General features: G+C 35.2%; 1 protein-coding gene across 2 annotated transcripts in view, besides 1 other annotated feature; it reads left to right on the top strand.

The window, feature by feature from the left end:
• Positions 1-22424, top strand: part of SEMA3A (semaphorin 3A) — a 536949-nt gene that overhangs the window by 36007 nt on the left and 478518 nt on the right. The gene's annotated exons all lie outside the window — the stretch shown is intronic.
• Positions 19228-19397: an enhancer, noted in NCBI's record as "experimental_100336 CRE fragment used in MPRA reporter constructs". NCBI's record gives its function as "activates a minimal promoter by MPRAs in K562 erythroleukemia cells, with activity observed for both the introgressed and non-introgressed 7:84066723 variant alleles {active_cell/tissue: K562}" and the evidence as "EXISTENCE:reporter gene assay evidence [ECO:0000049][PMID:34662402]".

The raw sequence follows: 22424 nt of genomic DNA, 5'->3' as shown, positions 1-22424 counted from the left end.
GTTCTTTATTTTTAAAAATGACAACTTTTTCAATTGAACAATTTACCAATGAAATTATTTTCTAAAGACTTTACTGTATGTTATAGTTACCTAAATCCAGGTATGCAGTTACCTAAATCAATATATTAATGATTATTAAACAATAAATATTTACGAAATGTAAATCTTTCTATTTGATTAATGTCAGACATCTAGTTTTACATGGTAGAATGATTATCATTTGATATCTGGCCCATTCAAAGTTAAATGGTTAAAAGATGGTGCTTTTAAAATCTCTTACTTAATCAGAGTGTCTGATATATAAATGCTAAAAAATTGATGAATGACTCCTTTATTGATTTAGAATTCCAAGAGTACTATGAATTAGATTATTCTTTGGGCTTTCAACACAGAATAACAGATTTTACCATATTAAGACTTTATCCACCACCTACTCCCCAAATCGACTTGATTTGAAGCATCCTATATGTTGGAATATCTAATTTATTTTTATAAGCATTTCTTTATAAGCACAGAGGATTTAAAAAAGGAGGATATTTTCTTTTTTTAATATTTTTTTCTCATAGGAGATCTTAAGTTGTGAAGCGCATGAAATAATTTAGAATATCATCTCAGACATCCTTACTTTTAGTCATCTCATTTGCAAGTGTTAAATCTACTTTAAGGCCTGAATTGCCAAGGATCACATAAATTGGGTAGCTGCCAAATTTCCATTTCAGTTTATGCTGTGTAGACAGAATATGTATCCATATGACCTTCATGAATCAGCTATTCAGCTGTCTCACAAGCTATTTCAGCTATTGCCTATTGCCAAGTAGGTAAGAAGAGATATTCATTAGCATGAAATTTAGAGTATTTGGTTACTACACTGGTTAAATCTTTTTCTAATTTTTTCCCTCTCCCATATATAAAATGAAACAGATGTTTACTTCCTGAAATTTGGAAACATTTGTAACTTTTAAAGTGGTTTACAGTTATGAATTTAAGAAAATTCTTATCACTTCGTTCTAAACTTAAGAATACTCTTAATTGTACACAACTGTATTTCTAATAAGCTTCAGACCAAACTATAAGAATTATTCACATTGAAATCATAGAAATTATCACTCTGAAAAAAAGTCTTCAAATGAAGAACTGAGTTTGCCAACTGTTGATATCACTAACTCAGCTTGCCTTCCTGAAATTAACATGTAATATATGTTACTATCACATACCTTCTAAGCTATTGTAAAGAGGTTATAAAATATTTTTATTAATCAAACATATATTGAACATTTAGAAATATTAGTTTAACATACAGCCTTTTAAATATTATTGTTCAATGGAATGGAAAATATTAAACAAAGTAGTTTTTAAATGCACTTTGTAAAATAAACATTGAAGTCATATTTGAAAAGAATGCATTGCAAGTATTTAACTTATACAATGTTTATGTGAAACTATATTTATTTTAATCTTAAACTACCTGTTTTATTTTTAACCTTTTTTAGAAAGAGCTATTCCTCCCCATCCCTCAACTTCATAAAAAATGAAAAATAAGAGTATTCATATTTCTGTCATTTTCTTGTTGAAAAACTATCTTTCAGATTTTAACCAGATTTCACTTTCTGATAGAAAGAATTAATATATTACAATACTATCTACTTAATTTGTAATAATTATTCAATGTCATAAAATGAGAACTATTGACCTACCAATGTGACCTAGCTACACATTCAGGTTCATTGAGAGCGTTTCATTTTTATTGTATTTGTCATATAGTTTTAAAGATTACATTAAACCTTGAGGTGCTACTTGTTAATATAATTAAAATAACTATTATATTTAGATTGTACATGAAATTACTAGGCTTATTCAGTCTCTTACTGGGTTCATATAAAATTAATTTTAATGTACTTTGACAGTTGTAAAAAGATTTAATATGATTAAATATTGTCTAAGTTTTGATCTTGCCACCAGATGGCAGGAAAAATCAGAGTCAAATAGTTTTTGTTGAACAATATGAATGAGGGTTTTTGTTTTTGTTTTCATTTTGGGTGTTTTTCTATCAATATTTTGTACATAGCCCAAGACATCATTTGTATTACATGAATATACAATATTTCACTGAAAATTATTTGTATTTTTCACTGTAATTGTACTATACCATTTACCACATTCATGCTATTGTTGTCATGAATTTTAAAATGATATTTAAAGTTACTGTTTTAGTAACATTCAAATTACTATAATAATTGGTACTGTGAATGCTCAGACTTGCCAGTGTCAAATAACTGGTTACTCAGCTCCTCTATACACAGGTGGAAAGAAAGTGCATGGAAAAAGTAACTAAGCTGTTACCTTAATGTTAGTAACTCTTTGGACAAGGCCAAGAAATGACTTATCTGTGTCTGATGTATGTCTTACTGTTTCACAGAATAAACACATTAAAGTCTTAGTATTACACAGCTTGACATCTTCCATAGGTAATTTAAAAAAAGCCATTACAAAATAAGAATAAAAAATGGCAAAAGAGAGAAAATATTCCCCAAATTGCAGCAAGACTCCACAGCTCTTTTACATTTTTACATTTTAAAGAAAAGAGTTCAGATGCCTTAACACTTTGAATATATGCAAGCTAGAGAATTGAGGCGAATATTTTAACAAATTACATCTCCATGTACTGTAAATAATTGCAGCACAGTAGCACATGTATTGTGGATACATTTTTATTGCTCTGTTAAGAATAATTTATAAGTCCACCTACTTCATTTTTTGATGCAGTAGTTTTCTTTATCTTGCAATAATATATCACTGTAGTATCAATAAGTTTAGGTATTACTTTCTTTTCTAGAAAAAAAAGTGTAACTAGAATTAAATCATCTAATCAAGTCAGTTTTTATTTATTGAAGTGATATTTGAACAACAGCTGTCCTCTGCAAATTAGCAAACAATTTTACACAAGTTTTTTTTGCAAAGAAAGGCAGACAGCTATTCTTAATAAGTTACAGAGTACTTATTACTGAGATAATGTACACGATAGAATATTTAATACAGACAATGTAGACTTTAAGTAGAGACAGGGAATGTGTCTCTCTGGTGACTCCATTATACACCATTTCTTGACTTTACTCAGAAGAAAGTAGCATTTCACTGTGTGAATCAGGATGCATTGTCTCTATCACTCAATAGAAACAAAGTCTCGGCCGGGCGCGGTGGCTCACGCCTGTAATCCCAGCACTTTGGGAGGACGAGGTGGGCGGATCACGAGGTCAGGAGATCGAGACCATCCTGGCTAACACGGTGAAACCCCGTCTCTACTAAAAATACAAAAAATTAGCCGGGCGAGGTGGCGGGCGCCTGTAGTCCCAGCTACTCGGGAGGCTGAGGCAGGAGAATGGCGTGAACCCCAGGGGGCGGAGCCTGCAGTGAGCCGAGATTGCGCCACTGCACTCCAGCCTGGGCGACAGCGAGACTCCGTCTCAAAAAAAAAAAAAAAAGAAACAAAGTCTCATGAACCATAATACTCCCTGAAATTAGATTCATCTCTCTTTCCACGTTTGTCACTGTTGAATTTGCTTAGCAGTAGGTATTCGATATGTATAAGGATACGACTATTTTTTTTCCTCCAGATTCCTTTGCGTTTGATAAAGTTGAGACAAAACACTGGAAGGTTTTGGATTAGGTTAACCTAGAAAATTTTAAAGCTATTACTAGTAAAAATGACCTGCTACAAATCTGTAGGATGTTACCATGCAAACTTCCAATGTTAAAAAGAAGGGGAAAGACTCTGACAGTGTATAAAGATTTACTTCCCCCCCAAAAAAGGCCCTTGTTTGCTTTCACAAATGGTCACACAGAGTAACAAGTGACCCAGTGCATCAAGTTCAGACAAGTTGCAAAACAAAAAGAAAAATGACACCTCTGGTCAATGACAGATGAACTTTGCATCCATCATAGGCTTGCTAGAAGGAAAACAGCTAGGTGAATTGTTGTTGCCGTGTGCAGTCTTTCATCAGCAACACCCTATGGAGGTGTGCCTGTGGCAAAATACATAGTTGTCCTGTGAGTGTCTAACTACATATTCTGGCTTTTAAACTCTTTTAAAACTATTTTTTATACATAGTAACATAACAGTATTAAAATTTCATGCTGAGAGCCGATAAAAAAGGAACATGTAGGTTTGGAAAAGAAGCATACCATATTTGTATTATCGATCATGCCACCATATATTATCTTGGTGAATGTTTCTGGGAATAACAAAATTCTCTCAAATGGCCATATCATACTCACAAAGTGTATGATACCTATCTGTTTTGCTGGCCATGTCAACTCTCAAACAATAGGATTCATTCTCCACTAAGGTGCCCATGGCCTTGCTGTTGTTCATAAAGGAAGCCTTATGGCACGTCACTCATCCAAAATAACATCTAAGTAGGTTCATATTTAAATTCAATTACTTTAGTACTGGCTATTTTTAAAAAATATATTGCCTTAAAATAATAACTTTTGAGTATATTTATTAAGTGATAATTCTGTTTTGCCAAACACTGAACTTTGAAGCCTTAAAAAGTAATAGGACAAATGTGTGATCCTTCTTTGAATGTTTTTATTCTGGCTGTTGTCAGGTGTGTAAAAAAATGGATGTTAAAGCTATATTTAAATAAGTAACAAGCAAAGAGAGGAATATAATTTTAAAAAATATATTTGAAAAACAAACAATTAAATATTTGCTACTAAATTCACTTATAGATTAAGAGTAGGAGAAGAAAGATTGCAAATTTAACCCATGTAATTGTTCCTTTATTTGTGGAAAATATAATGATACTAACAAAGGTTATGTAGACTACAGAGTTAAAAACAAAAATACTGGATTCCAACTTCATCAAACTAACTTAGAAGAGGGGAATTTAGAGGGATAACATACCTTTAAAAATGGGAACTATGTTCCTATTTGCAATGAAGTGTCCAATGAAACATGAACTCAACATAAAACTGAGTCACTGATGATTTTCCAACAGAAGTTTTGTCAAGGCGTATTTTCTGTGATAAATTTGCTGTAACTTTTCAAACCGTGTCAATTTGTAAAGTAGTTCTGGATTTCAAAGTTTGTAGAGGCTTTATAAACAAGAGAGCTTAGTTCCTTCTCCACTGAATATTCATGCTTCTATGAGGCAAATTTCTATCTATTGTCATACTCTATAAAAGTCATCACTATCATAGGTAAGAGTAATCAAAATCTCAGGTTAACCATTTAGTTTTGCTTTTCAACAATATTTTAGGGCTATAAACATCTTTAATCAATTTAGGAGTTATTTGTGATAGCTGGGCAAAATTTGTTCCAGAATGATTCAAAACTGACAACAGAGACTTTTCCCTATGACCTTGAATACTGGTGGAAGTGACTTTAAATATGACCCAAGGGGGAAGGAAAAAAGTATGTATATAGGGTTAGAAGAAATGTTATGTGTACACATTTTTTTTCTTAAGAGTTGGTGCTGAGAAAACTGGATATCCACATGAAAAATAATGAAATAGAACCTATCTTATATCACACACAAAACTCAACTCAGAATGGACTAAAAACTTAAATCTAAGAAAATGAAATTTTAAAACTCCTAGAGGAAAACATAAGGGAAAGTTTTATGACATGGGTATGGGCAGTGATTTCTTGGCTATGACACTGAAAGCACAGGCAACAAAAGCAAACACAAACTTGGAATTACATCAAATTAAAAAGCTTCTACAAAGCAAAGCAAACAATTAACAGAGTGAAAAGGCAACCTAAAGAAAAGGAGAAAATACTTGGCAGACTATATATTTGCTAAGGGGTTAATATGAAAACATAGAAGGAACTCTAACAACTCAGTAGCAGTAAACAAATAATCTAATTTAAGAAACTGACAGAGGAATTCAATAGATATTCCTACAAAGAGGACAAATAAATAGTCCAGTTTATGAAAAGATGTTCAACATCACGAATTAGGGAAATGCAAATCAAAAGCATAATGAGATATTTTACACCTGTTAGGATGTTGTAAATTTTTTAGGTCTAGTACAATGAGACAGAACCCTCCCACAATTCAGACAAAGTAAATTTACTACTTACAAATAGGCAGCAAGAATAAATGAATTCTATAATCAATGGCAAGCTAGTACTCCACAGTTTAGGAAAGCTTTCCAGAATGGATGGAGTCTTGTCTACATGTGCCATACATTGCATCACAGATGAGTGTTCCTCAAAGCACTAAGCTCTGCATTTTATAGCCTGAACACATTCATGTCACTGAGGTCAAGAGTTGCAGAAGGTCCTGTTCTGGGAGGAATAAGGACACAGCCCAGGTTTTTCCAGAAAGTTCCTCTTCATCTCAGAATGTGGCATTCTTGGTATATTCTGCCCAAGAATTGCACGCAAGAGTGGAAGAGCTTGGTCATCCAAGACCATCTGGGGCCCTATACTCCTGCAGATGTCTGTTATCAAAAGAGAGAGAGAGAGAAAGAGAGAAGTGTTGGAGAGAATGTAGAGAAATTGGACCCTTGTACTCTGTTAGTGGGAATGTGAAAGGTGCTGCTATGGAATTATGGAGGTTTCCCAAAAAAATTAAATATAAAACTACCTTATGACCCTGCAATCCAACTTTTGGATATTTATCCAAAAGAATTGAAGTCAGAATCTGGAAGAGATATTTGCACTTCCATGTTCATTGCAACATTATTCACAATAGACAAGATGTGGAAACAACCCAAACGTATGTGGATGGATGAATGGATAAAGGAAATGTTGTAATAGATGCAATGAAATATTAATTAGCTTTTAAAAACAAGGAAATCCTGCCATTTCAACAACGTGGATGGACTTTGAGGATATTATGCTAAGTGAAATAATTCAGCCACAAAATGACAAATATTGCATGGTTCCACTTAACATGAGATGTCTAAAATAGTCAAACTCACAGAAGCAGACAGTGGAATGACGATTGCCAGAGGACATGGTGAGGGGGAAATGGGGAGTTGCTATTTAATGAAAAAGTTTCTACAGGGTATATTTGAGTATATTTATTAATATACTCAACGTATATTTGAGTATATTATTGTCTCCCTCATTGTGTGAGGCAATTTACTGGTATAGCCATCTAGGCTGGGAGTTTTCTGTGTGGGAAGGATTTTATAATAAATTCAATTACTTTAATTGAATAACAATGTTCACTATATCCTCTTATTAATCTTTTTATATGTGTATGATCTGTAGTGGTGTCTCTTTCAGTCCTGTTGTTTGCAGTTTGTGTTTTCTCTTTGTTTTTTTCTTCTTGGTTAGTCTAATTAGAGGTTTAACAATTTGTTGATTGTTCTCTATGTTTGTCAGTTTTCATTTTATTGATTTGTACTTAGTTTGTGGGTAATTTTCTCTTCTTTTTTATAGCTTCCTAAAGATGGCTGCTTGGATAAGTGATTTCATACTTTTTCTTTACATCTATACGTTTCATTCAAAGTCCTGCTTTAGCTATAATTCACAAATAAATGTTGTGACACTTTTGATCTATGTTTTCTCTAAGTATTTTATAGTTTTAGGTCTTACCTTTAGACCATGAATCCATTTTAAAGTAATTTTTGTATATGGTGTTAGGTAAAGGTCCAAGTTTATTCTTTTGCATATGCAGTTTTCCTGGCACCATCTGTTGAAAATACTGTCTTTTCTCCCTTGAATGGTCTTGGCAATTTTGTTGAAATACTTTTGGCCATATATGTGAGAGTATATTTCATGAGTATTTATTTTATTCTATTTGTTTATATATATTTACACCAGAACCGGATTGTTGTGGTTATTGTAGTTTTGTACTACATTTTGTAATCAGAAAGTGTGATGCCCCCAGATTTGCCATTCTTCTTCAAGATTGTTTTGGGTATTGGAGCTTTTTTGTGCTTTCATGCACATGTTAGATTTTTTTTTTTTCTATGGAAATGGAATTTTCAAACAAATTGCACGGAATTTGTAAATCACTTTGTGTAGTACTGACATATTAACGTTATTAAGTCTTCCAATCATGAAAATTAAATTTTTCCATTTCTTTACTTTTTTTAATGTTCATTGTAGAAATGTTTTGTAGTTTTTCTTGTATAATTCTTTGACTTTCTTGTTAAATTAATTCCTAAGATTTTAATTTTGTTTTTGTTTTTGATGCTATTGTACATGAAATTGCTTTCTTCATCTCCTTTTCTATACACTAACAGATTAGTCACTGTTAGTGTATAGAAATACAAGTAATTTTTAAAGTGTTGTCTTTGTATCCTGCTACTTTAATGAATTCATTTATTAGTTCTAATAATTTTTTGTGAAATTTTTAGCATTTCCTATATATATCAGCTGCAAACAGAGATGATTTTAACAACTTCTTTTTCAACTTGGATTTTATTTCTTTCTTTTTGCCCAATTGCTCTTACTACAACTTCTAATACTGTGTGAAACAGAAGTAGTTTCACGGGATAATTGGGGTGTCACTTCGCCAGCCAGAAACCTCTGTGGCTGGTGGCGTCTTTGCCTGAGTTTTGCTCATGCCTGCTGGGCTCCTTCCTCCAACTCGACCTGGCAGGCTGTGCACGGCTCACAGTACTGGCCCAGAACCCACACCTGCCAAGGGTGAGCCAGGCAGGGAGCGACGAAGGGTGTATGGCCAAGTGAATGCGGGGTCTGGCACACCACAGCCAGGCACACCGGGCACACCAGCTGCTGCAGCAGGGTGGGCAAATCCAGGTGCCAGCTCTGTGTGAGGCTGTGTAGCTGGACCAGATGCACCACATGCAGATTCTGCTGTGGGCAACTGTGTCTGAGCTAGCGGAATGCGGTGGCACCTGGAAACTTGGAGATGGCAGGAACTGCAGAGCCCCAAAAAGGGTAACCCTAGGTCTGGGCTTCCTGAAGGCCTGCAGCACTTCTCTCCTCATAGCCCGCAACGTGGCAAGCAGGCGTTGGGGGAGCCGTTTCAAACCTGTTTGTGTTACAGCTCTTTCAATCCCATGTCCAGGAAGAATGAGGTATGCGGACAACTGGAGGGTGAGCAAGGTGGAGAGAAGCTTTATTGAGCGACAGAACAGCTCTTAGGAGACCCGAAGTGGGTAGCTCCTTTCCACAGGCAGGTCATTCCAATGAGTCCAGGAAACCCCGAAGTGGGTATCTCCTAACTGAAGCTGGTAGTTCTGACGTCTGTTTGAGTCTAGCTGAGTTCGGGGAGTTTTATGGGCTCAGAAGGGAGGAGGTGTGTGTTGATTGGTCCATGGGCGGCCATGGGCAAGGCCAGGAAAAAGCACAAGTTCTCACTCTGTGTGGGGGACTCCACCAGGAACTGACAGCCTGGCCCCAAGACTTCAGGCCATCCCTGGCTTGAAGGTGGGGCTTCACCAGGACCGTCTCTCCGCCCAGGAGCCTATCTGCCTCCTGTTACCAATCAATCATGTTGTCCACAGAGCCTGGGCTATTTGTCCCAAAGGGTGCCTGCAGGCCCATGCCAAGCTGCCCTCAGCCTCCCATTGGTCGCGCCTCCCATACTCGTCAGCACTCAAAGACCAGAGGGCATCGAAGCGGCAGGGGGCTGGCATGTCAGCACCACCCCACATGTGTGCACACCTGGCCAGGTCGTGATGGCGCCTGGGCTCGCTTCAACTTTGCTTTGAAATCAGAGCAGGCACGGGGAGCCGAGCGAGGCCATGTAGTGGGAGCAAGCACTTCCAAGCCTGCAGGAGCAGGGGTTTTCCCAGGCCTTGAGAGTGCGGGGATGCCTGGGTCCCCAGCTGTGGCTGGGCAGCTGCAGCTGCAGCCAAGAGTGCGGGGCTCCTGCCCCACCCACTTAAAAGCAGGTGGGGCTCCCACCTGTTCCTGACCTCCGCCAGCTCCACGGAGCACATAAGCCTGGCTGTGCCTCCCCCACTGCAACTGGCATCCTTGCAGCAGCTGCTCCACATGGGCCACCACTACCATCAGTGGTGCAAGCAGATATCTTAGCCTTATTCTGATATTAGGAGAAAAGCTTTCAGTCTTTCACCAACTATGATATTCCTTGAGTGCTTTCATATATGGCCTCTATGTTGAGGTAATTTCCTCATATTCTTAGTTTGCTGAGTGTTTTTATCATGAAGTAATGTTAAATTTTGTCAAATGCTTTTTGTACATCTTAAGATGACTTTTTATTCCTTTACTCTGTCTACGTGTATTACAAGATTATTTTTTCTTATGTTGAACCATTTTTTTATTCCAAGAATAAATTCCTCTTAGTTGTGGTGTATAATCCTTTTAATATATTGCTGAATTCAGTTTGCTAGTATTTTGTTGAGAATGTTTGCATCAGTATTCATCAGGGACATTAGTTTTTAGTTTTCTTGTAGTGTCTTTGGCTGGCTTTGGTATCAAGATAACACTGGCCTCATAGAATGTTATTTAATTTTTTGGAAAATTTGAGAAAGATTTGTGTTCTTTAAATATTTGGTAGAATTCATTGGTGAAGATATCAGAGCTGATGCTTTTCTTTATCAAGAGATGTTTGAATACTGATTTAATCTCCATATTAGTTATTGTTGTATTCAAATTTCTATTTCTTCAAGATTTAGTCTTGTTAGATATTTGTTTCTAGGAGTATGTCCAATTCATCTAAGTTACTCAATTTATCAGCATGCAGTTGCTTATAGTGACCTCTTCTCATCAATTTTATTTCTATAGAATTAGTAATAATATTCCCACACTCCTTTCTGATTTTAGTAATTTGAGTCTTCTCTCATTTTTTCCTAGTACATATAGTTAAAGGTGTGTCCATTTTGTTGATATTTTAAGAGGGTAAACTTTTGGTTTTATTGCTTTTCTTCATTCTTTTTTTTTATCTTTTCTATTTTGTTTTCCTCTTCTCTAATCTTTATTATTTTCTTCCTTTTGCTGTATTTTTTCCTAGATCTACAAGTTGTGAATTTAGGTGTTGCTTTGAGATCTTTCTTGATTTTTATGGTAAGCATTTATAACTATAAATTTCCTCTTTAGCACTATTATCACTATGCACCATGAGTTTCAGCTTATAGTATTTTTGGTTTAATCTCTAAGTATTTTCCAGTTTCCTTTGTGATTTCTTCTTTGATCCATTGGTTGTTTAAGGGTGTATTATTTAATTTCCATAAGTTTGTGAATTTTCAAGTTTTCCTTTCATTATTGATTTCTTTCTTTTCTCTTCTTTTCTTTTCTTTTCTTTTTTTTTTTTTTTTTTTTTTTTTTTGAGATGGAGTCTCACTCTGTCGCCCAGGCTGGAGTACAGTGGCATGCTCTCGGTTCACTAGAAGCTCTGCCTCCTGGGTTCATGCCATTCTTCTGCCTCAACCTCCCCAGTAGCTGGGACTACAGGTGCACACCACCACGCCCAGCTAATTTTTGTTGTATTTTTTAGTAGAGACAGGGTTTCACCATGTTAGCCAGGATGGCCTTGATCTCCTGAACTCGTGATCCGCCCGCCTCAGCCTCCCAAAATGCTGGTATTACAGGAGTGAGCCACCACACCCGGCCTCATTATTGATTTCTAATACCATCCCAGTGTGGTCAGAGAAGATATATGTGACTTCAGAATGTTCATGGAAAATGCATATTATTTAGAAACTAAATGTGGATTTCAAAATTTATTTGCATCAGAAAAAAATTATATTAATTTGTTATGTCAAAACAGGATCTAGTTTGAGGCACTCAGAAGAAGATATCAGTTTTAAAAGAGCCTCTATCAGAGCAACATGAATCCTCCTAAAATTGAAGCAAGAGCAAACATCTAATTTATGGAGAAGCTTGGGTGAAGAAAGATGAAATCACTGATGTTTTATGAAAAGTTTATGAACAATGCCCCAGGAAATGAGCAGTTTACAAATAAGAAAATCACTGTACTCACACCTGTAATCCCAGCACTTTGGGAGGCTGTGGCAGGCGGATCACGAGGTCAGGAGATCAAGACCATCCTGGCTAACACGGTGAACCCCGTCTCTACTAAAAATACAAAAAATTAGCCAGGTGTGGTAGCGGGCACCTGTAGTCCCAGCTACTCGGGAGGCTGAGGCAGGAGAATGGCGTGAAGCCGGGAGGGGGAGCTTGCAGTGAGCCGAGATCGCGTCACTGTACTCCAGACTGGGAGACAGAGCCAGACTCCGTCTCAAAAAAAAAAAAAAAGAAAAAAAGAAAAGAAAATCACTGTAAGCATGTACAAGACTATGTTGAAGATGAAGCCCACAGCAATGGCTCATCTAATTTAATTTGTAAAGAAAAAAATTAATTTGTTTGTGCTCTAATTGAAGAAAATGATTAACAGTAGAAATATGACCAATACCAAAGACTTCTCACTTGTTTTTGACTGAAAAATTAAAGTTGAGCACTTTTCACTCAATGGGTGACACATTTTTTTGCACCTAGATAAACTGCAGAGACAAGAAGAGCTTTTAATAAAAAATTTGAACAAGTGGGATTAAGATCCTGTATGATTTCTTCAAAGAATTTTAACAGAAAATAAAACGTATCTTTACCAGTATGATTCTGAAGAAAAGCACAATCAGGCCGGGTGTGGTGGCTCACACCTGTAATTCTAGCAATTTTGGAGGCCAAGCTGGGCAGATCACTTAAGGTCAGGAGTTTGAGACCAGCCTGGCCAACATGGTGAAACCCCATTTCTACTAAAATACAAAAATTAGCTAGGTATGGTGGCAGGTGCCTGTAATTCCAGCTACTCAGGAGTCTGAGGCAGGAGAATCGCTTGAACCCAGGAGGTGGAGGTTGAAGGGAGCCAAGATCACACCACTGCATTCCAGCTTGGGCAACAGAGTGAGACTCTGTCTCAAAAAAAAAAAAAAAAAAAAAAAAGGACAAAGCACAATCAAAATGGCTACCAAGAGGTGGGTCCAGTCAAAGCAAAAGTAGACTGGTCTAGAGCAAAGATCATGGTAAGAATTTTTTGCAATGCTCAAGGAATTTTGCTTGTTGACTTTCTGGAAGGCCAGAGAACATCTGTAACACCTGCTGATTATGAGAGTGTTTTGAGAAAGTTAGCCAAAGTTTTTAGCAGGAAAACAACCATGAAAGCTTCACCTGAGAGTCTTTCTTCACTATGACAATGTTCCTGCTAATTCCTCTTAACAAAGAAGAGCAATTTCGTGAGAGTTTCAAGGGGAAATCATGAGTCATTCACCTTACAGTCTTGATTTGCTCCTTCTGACACTTTTTGTTTCCTACTCTCAAAAACTCTGTAAAGGGCATTGATCTTTTTTCCATTAATAAAGTAAAAAAAATGTCAATTTAACCATTGACATGGTTAGATTCACAGCACCTTCAGTTCTTTAGGAATGGACAAAATGGCTAATATTTACATTAAAAAGTGTCTTGACCTTGATGGAATTTATTTGAGAAATAAAGTGTATATTTTTAATTCTTATCTTTTAATTCCATGTTATGAAATTTTTGAAGTTCCCTTGTACTTTGTGTGATCTATCTTTTAAAATATTCTGAGGTGTAATTTGTTGCCTAATGTATGATATATCCTGAAATTATTCCATGTGCACTTAAGAAGAATGTATATGCTGCTATTGTTGGATAGTGTTGAATAGCGTGTTCTACATAAGTCTGTTAGATCTAATTCATTTGTTGTGTTGTTTAAATCCTCTATTCGCATACTTCTGTCTGATTGCTCTATTCATTATTGGTAGGGGTGTATTGAAGTCTTCAACAATTATCATATAATTGTCTATTTTTCCCTTCAATTTTTTCAATTTTTGCTTCATATATTTTGATGGCCTCCTATTGGTTGTATACATGTTTATAATTGTTATAGCTTTATGTTTTATTGAAACTTTCATCAACATAATATTCTTCATTATGTCTTGTGAGCTTTTTGTCTTAGTCCATTTTGTCTGATATTATTAAATCCAACTACTGCTGACTTTTTATTAGTATTTTCAAGGAATATCCTTTTATAATCTTTCTCTTCGACCCATTTTAATCTTTGGATCCAAAATGAGTCTCTTATAGACAATATATAGTTGGCTTATGTTCATTTGCTTGTTTAATCCATTCTGCTATCTTTTTAATTTTGACTGGAGTGTTTAGTCCACTTAAATTTAAGGTAATTACCGGTAAGGAAAGATTTCTGCTATTTTACTATTTGTTTTTTATATGACATACCTTTCTTTGTTCTCACTTCCTACATTTTCTTTGGTGTTTAGTTGATTTTTTTTGTAGTAGAAGTTTCAGATTTTTTTCCTCATTGCTTATTGTGTTTATTCTTTAGCTAACTTCTGTATTGTTATAATGGGAATCATCTTTAATCTTATAAAATTATAGCACTTCAATTTGAATTTACACCAGCATAACTTCAATAAAATACAAACTCTCTGCTTATTTAAGAGGCTTCTCCCCATCCCATTTAGTTTTGGATGTTAAAAATTAACATCTTTATACATTGTGTGTTCAAAACTGAAACTAATAATTTTATAATATACTAGTCTCAGGTAGAAAACAAAATTTGGATTTACAAACCAAAGTTACAATGACATTAGTTTTAGGCAAATACATAATTTTGTAATTTATTACTCTTCTACAACTTGTCAAAAACTAAAAGTGGAGTTACACACCATCACTACAATACTATATTTTATAATTGCCCATGTATTTATCTTTACTGAGATCTCTCTTTCTTCATATGTCTTTGAGTTACTATCTAGTGTTCTTTCATTTCAACCTGTAAGTCTCTTCAGCATTTCTTGCAGAGCACGTCTGTTGGTAGCAAACTCCATCAACTTTTGTTTATCTGGGAATGTTTTAATTTCTCCCTGAGATTTGTTTTGTTTTGTTTGTTTTTTGCATTTTGAATTTAGCCCATTGCCTCTGGTGTCCAAAGCTTTTAAAAAGAAATTTGCTGATGATCTAACTGAGGATGTCTTGTGTAGGACCAGTCACATCTATTTTACTTATTTTAAAATTCTCTCTTTTATTTGGTTTTCAACAGTTTAACTATAATATATCTCCATGTGTGTCTCTTTAAATTCATCACATTTGAAGTTCATTGACGTTTCTTTAATGTGTATATTCTTCTTTCACTAAATTTGGGAAGTTTTTGCCATCTTTTCTTGAAACATTTTCTATGATGCTTTCTTTCTCTTTTCTTTTCTGTATGTTGGTCTGCCTGATGGTGTTCTATAGGTCTCTAAGGCATTGTTCAGTTTTTAATTTTTTTTTCTGTCAGCACCTTATACCAAAAAATTTCTGATGTCTTATTCTCATGTTCACTAATTCTTTATTTTGCCTGCTAAAATCACACTTTTAATCTCTCTAGTATTTTTTTTCATTTCTGTTATTATATTTTGAAGCTCCAGAATTTCTTTTTGGTTTTGTTTTACAGTTTCTATCTCTTTATTGATGTTTCCATTTTGCTCATACATCATTTCTTGACTTTCCTAATATCTTCTTTTAGTTTTTTGAGCATACTTAAGATAGATCTGTTGTAAAGTGTCTAGTAGGTCTGTTATAAGATCTTTTCAGGGTCAGTTTCTGTTTTTTTTATTTTTATTTTTATTTTATTTTATTTTTTATTGAGATGGAGTTTTGCTCTTGTTGCTCAGGCTGGAGTGCAATAGTGCAATCTCGGCTCACCACAACCTCCACCTCCCGGGTTCAAGTGATTCTCCTGCCTCAGCCTCTCCAGTAGCTGGGATTACAGGCATGCGCCCCGACGCCCGGATAATTTTGTATTTTTAGTAGAGATGGTGTTTCTCCATGTTGGTCAGGCTGGTCTCGAACTCCCGACCTCAGGTGATCTGCCCACCTCGGCCTCCCAAAGTGCTGAGATTACAGGCGTGAGCCACCACACCTGGCCTATTTATTTTTAAGTCGGCCATACTTTCCTGTTTCTTTGTGTGCGTTGTGAATTTTTGTTGAAAACTGGACATTTGAATCTAATAACATAACTAGAAAAGAGATTCCCTGCCTTTCCAGGATTTGCTGCCCTTTTTTGTTGTTTGTTTCTTTCTTTGATTGTTGTAAGCTGTCTCTGTGCTGAGGACCAAACTGAGGTATAAACTTATGGTCTTCTCAAGACTTCTCTGCTGGTGCCTTCCCATGGGCATGCATGGTGGCATTCCATTATCCCATGAATATGCAGTTGCTTTTTGATGTTCTAGTCTTCAATGTCTGGTGCTCAAAACAAAAAGAAAAAAAGAAAGGCGGAGGATTCATTGGCCCTTTAAGTCCCATAAAAGTCACTTCAGCCAGAGCTCACAACAATGTCTGTACCTCTATGATCAGAAGAAACAATCAGAGATCAGAGCACAAATTATGACATTTGGAAAGCAAGACCCATTTTACCTACCCTGGCTTCCACAAGCTGTGTTCAAGCTGCACCAGGAACATGTGGACAGCTGCTTGATATGGTGCTGAGGGGTGGAAGATTGGTAGCTACTTTTGTGCTAAAAGCTGAAAATAATCAAAATTAATCACAGTTTCCCATCCAAGTCTTCCCCTGAAAGATGTAAGCCATCAACGGACTCCAGATTTCCAAAAATAGTTACATCTGACAGATTATGCCATTGTAATTGTTGTCTAGGTAAGGAGACAGATTCCTAGTGCTTTACACGCTGCCATTTTCCCAGAATCTTCTGTTGATGTATTGCTTTTTAACAAAGTACCTTCTCACTTACTTGTTTCTTTCCTCTGTTCCAAATGTAATTGTCATGCATATTTGTTTACTTCTATATCACCTTATCAAGTATAGTGCCTAATACATGGTAGGTACTCATAAATATTTGAATATATGAATTAAATCCATCTTCCATATCCTGGGTTTATTAAATTTTTAACCTGATTTTATTCATCTTTAAATTTTCATCATTTAAAAATACATATATTCTTGGTTTAATAATTCATTATGTATTCCATTTGCCTTGTTTCTATTTTATTATTCTTAGAACATTGATAACATTGTCATAAATTCTCACATGTACTATATATGTACTATCATTTCACCCATTTCTTTTGTGTTTACAGATTTAATTTCTTTTCCACTTTCTAACAGTGAATAATTCCTTAAGCAAGCTTTTTATAGCCTTAATCTAAATCTTCTTAGTGGGTGGCTAACCTTTGACAGTCACTGTTTGAAAAGTCTCATCAGAAACATCTATTTATATGGATTTGTTTTAATATCAGACATAATCCAGAAATTTACATAGCACACATATTTGTTCTGTCAAAATAAAATAATCATAACTGCTGCCTTGCTTATGCTTAATAGAAACACTGTAAATAAAACTAGCATTGCAGTCAGTAATCTAAAATAACACAGTAGTTTTACTTTTTGAAATACAACCAAGATTTAAGGCAGGCAGGAAAGTAAAATTTATCCATGTCGACACATGAAATTTCACTTGTCCTAACCCTTTCATGCTTCCTTGTACATTCTACATCCTGTCATAGAAAATTCTTCCTGGGCTTAAAGTGGGAGGCTATGTGCATATTCTCCCTCTCTAAATTCTTACCTATGTTCTAATAGATACAAATCAGAAAGAAGAAAAGCCATTTGCCAGTCTCTTATTTGTAAGTCCTTAAATCACAACACCCCAAGAAGTACAGGTAGTTAATGTGTATTATTCTAATTCCATACTAGATTTAGCAGAGTAGTCAATGTATGTAGAAGTTGATACTCTTTTAATTTTGCTACTGCTGTATCAACCTGCTCAGGCCCCTCTGACACAACAGTCCATGAAGTAAATGCCCTTTCCTTTAGTTTCTTTTGCACAGTTGAGACACACTGATACTTACAGGTTGTTGCCTTATTACATGTTTAAAAGTAATTAACTGAAATAAAGAAGTAACATTAATTAAATCTGTTATAAGCTGAAATAAGAAAATTAAAAAATATATATTTTATTATAATATGTAGACTATGGGCTTCCAAGGACTGTGAAACCTCAAAATTCAAGTCATTTCCCTTATGATATTATTTGATCTCTCAAACTCTTGGTTGTTTCTATGTGGTGGGTACCATCTTATTACTTACCATACAGAAGTCTTTAACATATCAAGTCCTTGTCCTTACTCAGATCATGGGGAAAATGTTCTTGCTTTTCAAGTTTTATTGTGAAAGGCATGACTTCCCGATGGTTTTCTGGCAATCTTTGATAATTCACATAATGAAGTAGCTCATGCTTCACGTTAACCCCAACATCCTGCCTAGAGAAATGTTATCTAGCTCATTACGGTTCACAGATGAGTGAAATTTAGCTATGTAACTACCATACTTACTGTAGCACACATACTATAATTATTGTATTGGTCTTCTATGGATTCCATTGTAACACATTAGTCTGGTTTCTTGAAGTGGTGGGAAAAGTTAACTGAATTGATGGAGGCTAATACAAAATGTCATAGGGCCATCTTCCTCTGGCTATTTTTATTTTATAATTTATGCCTGCACACATACATAAATACATATAAAATCATTTTTAAAGCACTGTAAACTTCTTGAGTACAGTATTTGTATCCAAGTCATTCTGGTCTTTCTATTTTGTGCCAATAGTAGACAGACAGCAAATACATCATTGTTGACTGCTGAGAGAATAGTATTTAACCTCCTTGTAATTAATAAAGCATACCCCCTAGTCTAAAGTCTTAGGAAATTTTTGAAAATATATAATTCTTGCAAATTTTTCTCTAGCTCTTTTCTGGATAGATTGCTTGGTTCACAAAGACTTTCTTTCATTCTTTATCTTTTTAGCCAGCAAGTTTCATGTTCTGTAAAAATAAAACTTGTTTTAGGTTTTTTAAAAAATCAGCTGAGGCTTGTAGGGGAGTAATTAGTGCCATATCGGCTTGAGGAAACAATAAAACTGACTGCATTATAGTTTATATGAATTGTTTCTGAAAAACAGCATCTATATACTACTGATTATGGCAAATATTTTGGAAGATTTACATATTACAGTTTTCTGATGTTCTATTAAATATTTGCATTCATTCTGTCAATCTGATTACTGCACCTTTCAAGATAATTTCTTATTGGCCTTCCCAGCTTGAAATTTTCTCTGGAATACTCTGTTCTCATGTATCAGGATGGATATCCAGATTTTCAAAATCTTTCCTTAAATGTTTTTCTTTAAAGCAGCTTTTTCCTCTTTTACTTAAAAAAAAAAAAAAGCCAGCATTAGAAAGTCAATGTTATGAAGGCATGAGATTATGTTTTAAATTAAATTTATAATGTTTTTAAATAAAATATGCTCTAATAAAACAAAAAAGGGGAAATGTATTCAATCTTATGAGCTATTAAGACTATCTTAATAACAATATCAATTTAAGTAATTGATGTTCATGTCGGACTATTAACTGGAAATAAACATTCAAGGGAGAGTGGCCAAAGCAGGGAGTGACTTTAAATACTAGCAATAAAACTAATTACTAGCTCACATGACACCAAATTCCACCTTCCATTTCCGTCTACTTCAGTTCATTCCATTATTCCTTTTTTATTGTAACTGATCTCTAGGAACCTTTAGCCATTAAAATATACTTTCCTTTGAATTACCATAGATCATTCATTGTTTAACCCTTTAAGAATCACCTCAACAATCCAGAGCGCTTATTGTAAAAACGCTTGTGATCTTTTATTCAGAAGGATGATACATCAAAAATACATACAGTTGAGAAGCTGTTTTAGGTGGCAGTCCCTGCAATTCTGTTTTGTCTGTGTTCCTGTCATGGAATTGAATCATTGGTATTTAACATAAATGGCAGTTTAAGACTGTTTGAGGAAGGTGAATGAAAACACTTTTCACGAAAAAAGTAATTTTTCATTGTTTTCACATGCACTTAAAATTTAATGTTTACACCTTCAGGAAACATAGGATAAGTAATTTATGAAGGAAACTGTGGCTTAAATCTAGTCTCTATAAATCATAAATGTATTTACTTTTTGCACATTTGCATAAGAGAAGCATTCTACAAGCAATCTATGTTCAGACTTACCACCAAAACATGATCTTATAGATTGTTTTATGAGAAAATAACACAAACACAAATTTACTGTCAGTATCAAAGCAAACATAAATATAATTTTTAAAATCATATTATAACACAAAGAAATCCGAACTTATATCTGAGAAGCCCAAAATAAGTTTAAACATCAATCTTGTAAAGTTTCAGTGTTTTACAAAGAATAAAAGAAAGACTTTGGCCCAGTAAAATGTTATGCATATTGCATTAGCTTAGAAAATACTTTTCCTTATTGAATTGCTTAAGTTCCTTATAGATTGTGGATATTAGATCTTTGTTGGATGAATAGTTTGAAAATATTTTCTTCCATTGTGTAGGTTGTCTGTTTGCACTGTTGATAGTTTATTCTGCTGTGCAGAATCTCTTTAGTTTAATTAGGTACCACTCATCAATTTTTGTTTTGGTTAGAATTACTTTTGAGGACTTAGTCATAAATTCTTTCCCAAGGGCAAAGTCCAGAATGGTGTTTCCTAGGTTTTCTTCTAGGATTCTTATAGTTTAATGTCTTACATTTAAATTTTTAATCCAGGTTGAGTTAATATTTGTATATGGTAAAAAGTAGGGGTCCAGTTTCAATATTCTGCATATAGCTAGCCAGTTATCCCAACACCATTTATTGAATAGGAAGTTCTTTCCCCATTGCTTATTTTTGTTGACTTTTTTGAACATCAGATAGTTTTAGGTGTGCAGTTCTGTTTCTGAGTTCCCTATTTGGTTCCATTAATCTATGTGTCTGTTTTTATACCAGTACCATGCTGTTTCGGATACTGTAGCCTTACAGCACAGTTTAAAGTAGGGTAATGTGATGCCTCCAGCTTTGTTTTGTTTTGTTTTGCTTAGGATTGCTTTGGCTATTCTGGCTCTTTTTTGATTCCATGTGAATTTTACAATAGTGCTTTCTAATTCTGTGAAAAAATGACATTGGTAGTTTGATAGATATAGTGTTGAATCTGTAGATTGCTTTGGGTGGTATGGACATTTCAATGGTATTAATTCTTCCAGTCTATGAGCATGGAATGTTTTCGCATTTGTTTGTGTCATCTATTGTTTCTTTCATCAGTGTTTTGTAGTTCTCCTTGTAGAGGTTTGTTTGTTTGTTTGTTTGTTTTGACAGAATTTCTCTCTGTCGCCAGGCTGGAGGGCATTGGCCCGATCTTGGCTCACTGCAACTTCCGCCTCCCAGGTTCAAGCGAATCTCCTGCCTCAACCACCCGAGTAGCTGGGACTATAGGCACGCACCATTATGCCCAGCTAATTTTTGTATTTTTAGTAGAGACGGGGTTTCACCATGTTGGCCAGGATTGTCTCGATCTCCTGACCTCGTGATCCGCCCATGTTGGCCTCCCAAAGTGCTGGGATTACAGGCATGAGCCACTGCACCCAGCCTCCTCGTAGAGATCTTTCACCTCTTTGGACAGATGTGTTCCCAGGTAGTGTGTGTGTGTGTGTGTGTGTGTGTAGCTGTTGTACATGGGATCACACTCTTTAGCTGTCAGCTTGAATATTATTGGTGTATAAAAATGCTACTGATTTTTGTACGTTAATTTTGTATCCTGAAACTTTACTGAAGTTGTTTATTAGTCACCAGCCTTTTGGCAGAGTGTTTAGGGATTTCTAGGTATACAATGATGTAGTCAGCAAGGAGATATAGTTTGACTACTTGTTTTATTTGGATGCCTTTTATTTATTTGTCTTGCCTGATTGCTCTAGCTAGAACTTTCAGTACTATGTTAAATAGCAGTGGTGGGAGTGAGCATCCTTGTCTTGTTCCACTTCTCAAGGGGAATGTTTCCAGTTTTTGCCTGTTCATGATGTTGGCTATGCATTAATCATAAATGGCTCTTAATATTTTGACATATATTCCTTCAATTCTTAGCTTGTTGAGGGCTTTTATCATGTTGGGATGTTGGATTTTATTGAAGGCTTTTCTGTATTTATTGAGATGATCATATAGCATTTTATCATTAATTATGTTTATGTGATGAATTGCATTCATTTATTTGAGTAATTTGAATCAACCTTACATCCCAGGAATGAAACCTACTTGATCATGGTAAAATAACTCTTTGACATGCTGCTGGATTTGATTTGCTACTATTTTGTTTAGGATTTTTATGTCTGTCCTCATTAGGGATATTGGCCTGTAGTTTTCTTTTTGTTGTGTCTTTGCCAGGTTTTGGTATCAGGGTGGTTCTGGCTTACTAGAATAAGTTAGGGAGGAGTCCCTCCTTCTCAATTTTTAGGAATCATTTCAGTAGAATTGGTGCCAGCTCTTTTTATATGTCTAGTAGAATTTTGCTGTGAATCCATTTTGTCCAGGGCTTTTTTTGGTCGGTAGATTTTTTACTACTGATTCAATTTTGGAACTCAATATTGGTCTATTTAGGGTTTCAATTTCTTCCTGATTTACTCTTAGGAG

This window comes from Homo sapiens, chromosome 7 (assembly GCF_000001405.40).
Source record: "Homo sapiens chromosome 7, GRCh38.p14 Primary Assembly".
Taxonomy (NCBI): domain Eukaryota; kingdom Metazoa; phylum Chordata; class Mammalia; order Primates; family Hominidae; genus Homo; species Homo sapiens.
This window is presented reverse-complemented; position numbering and strand designations above follow the sequence as displayed.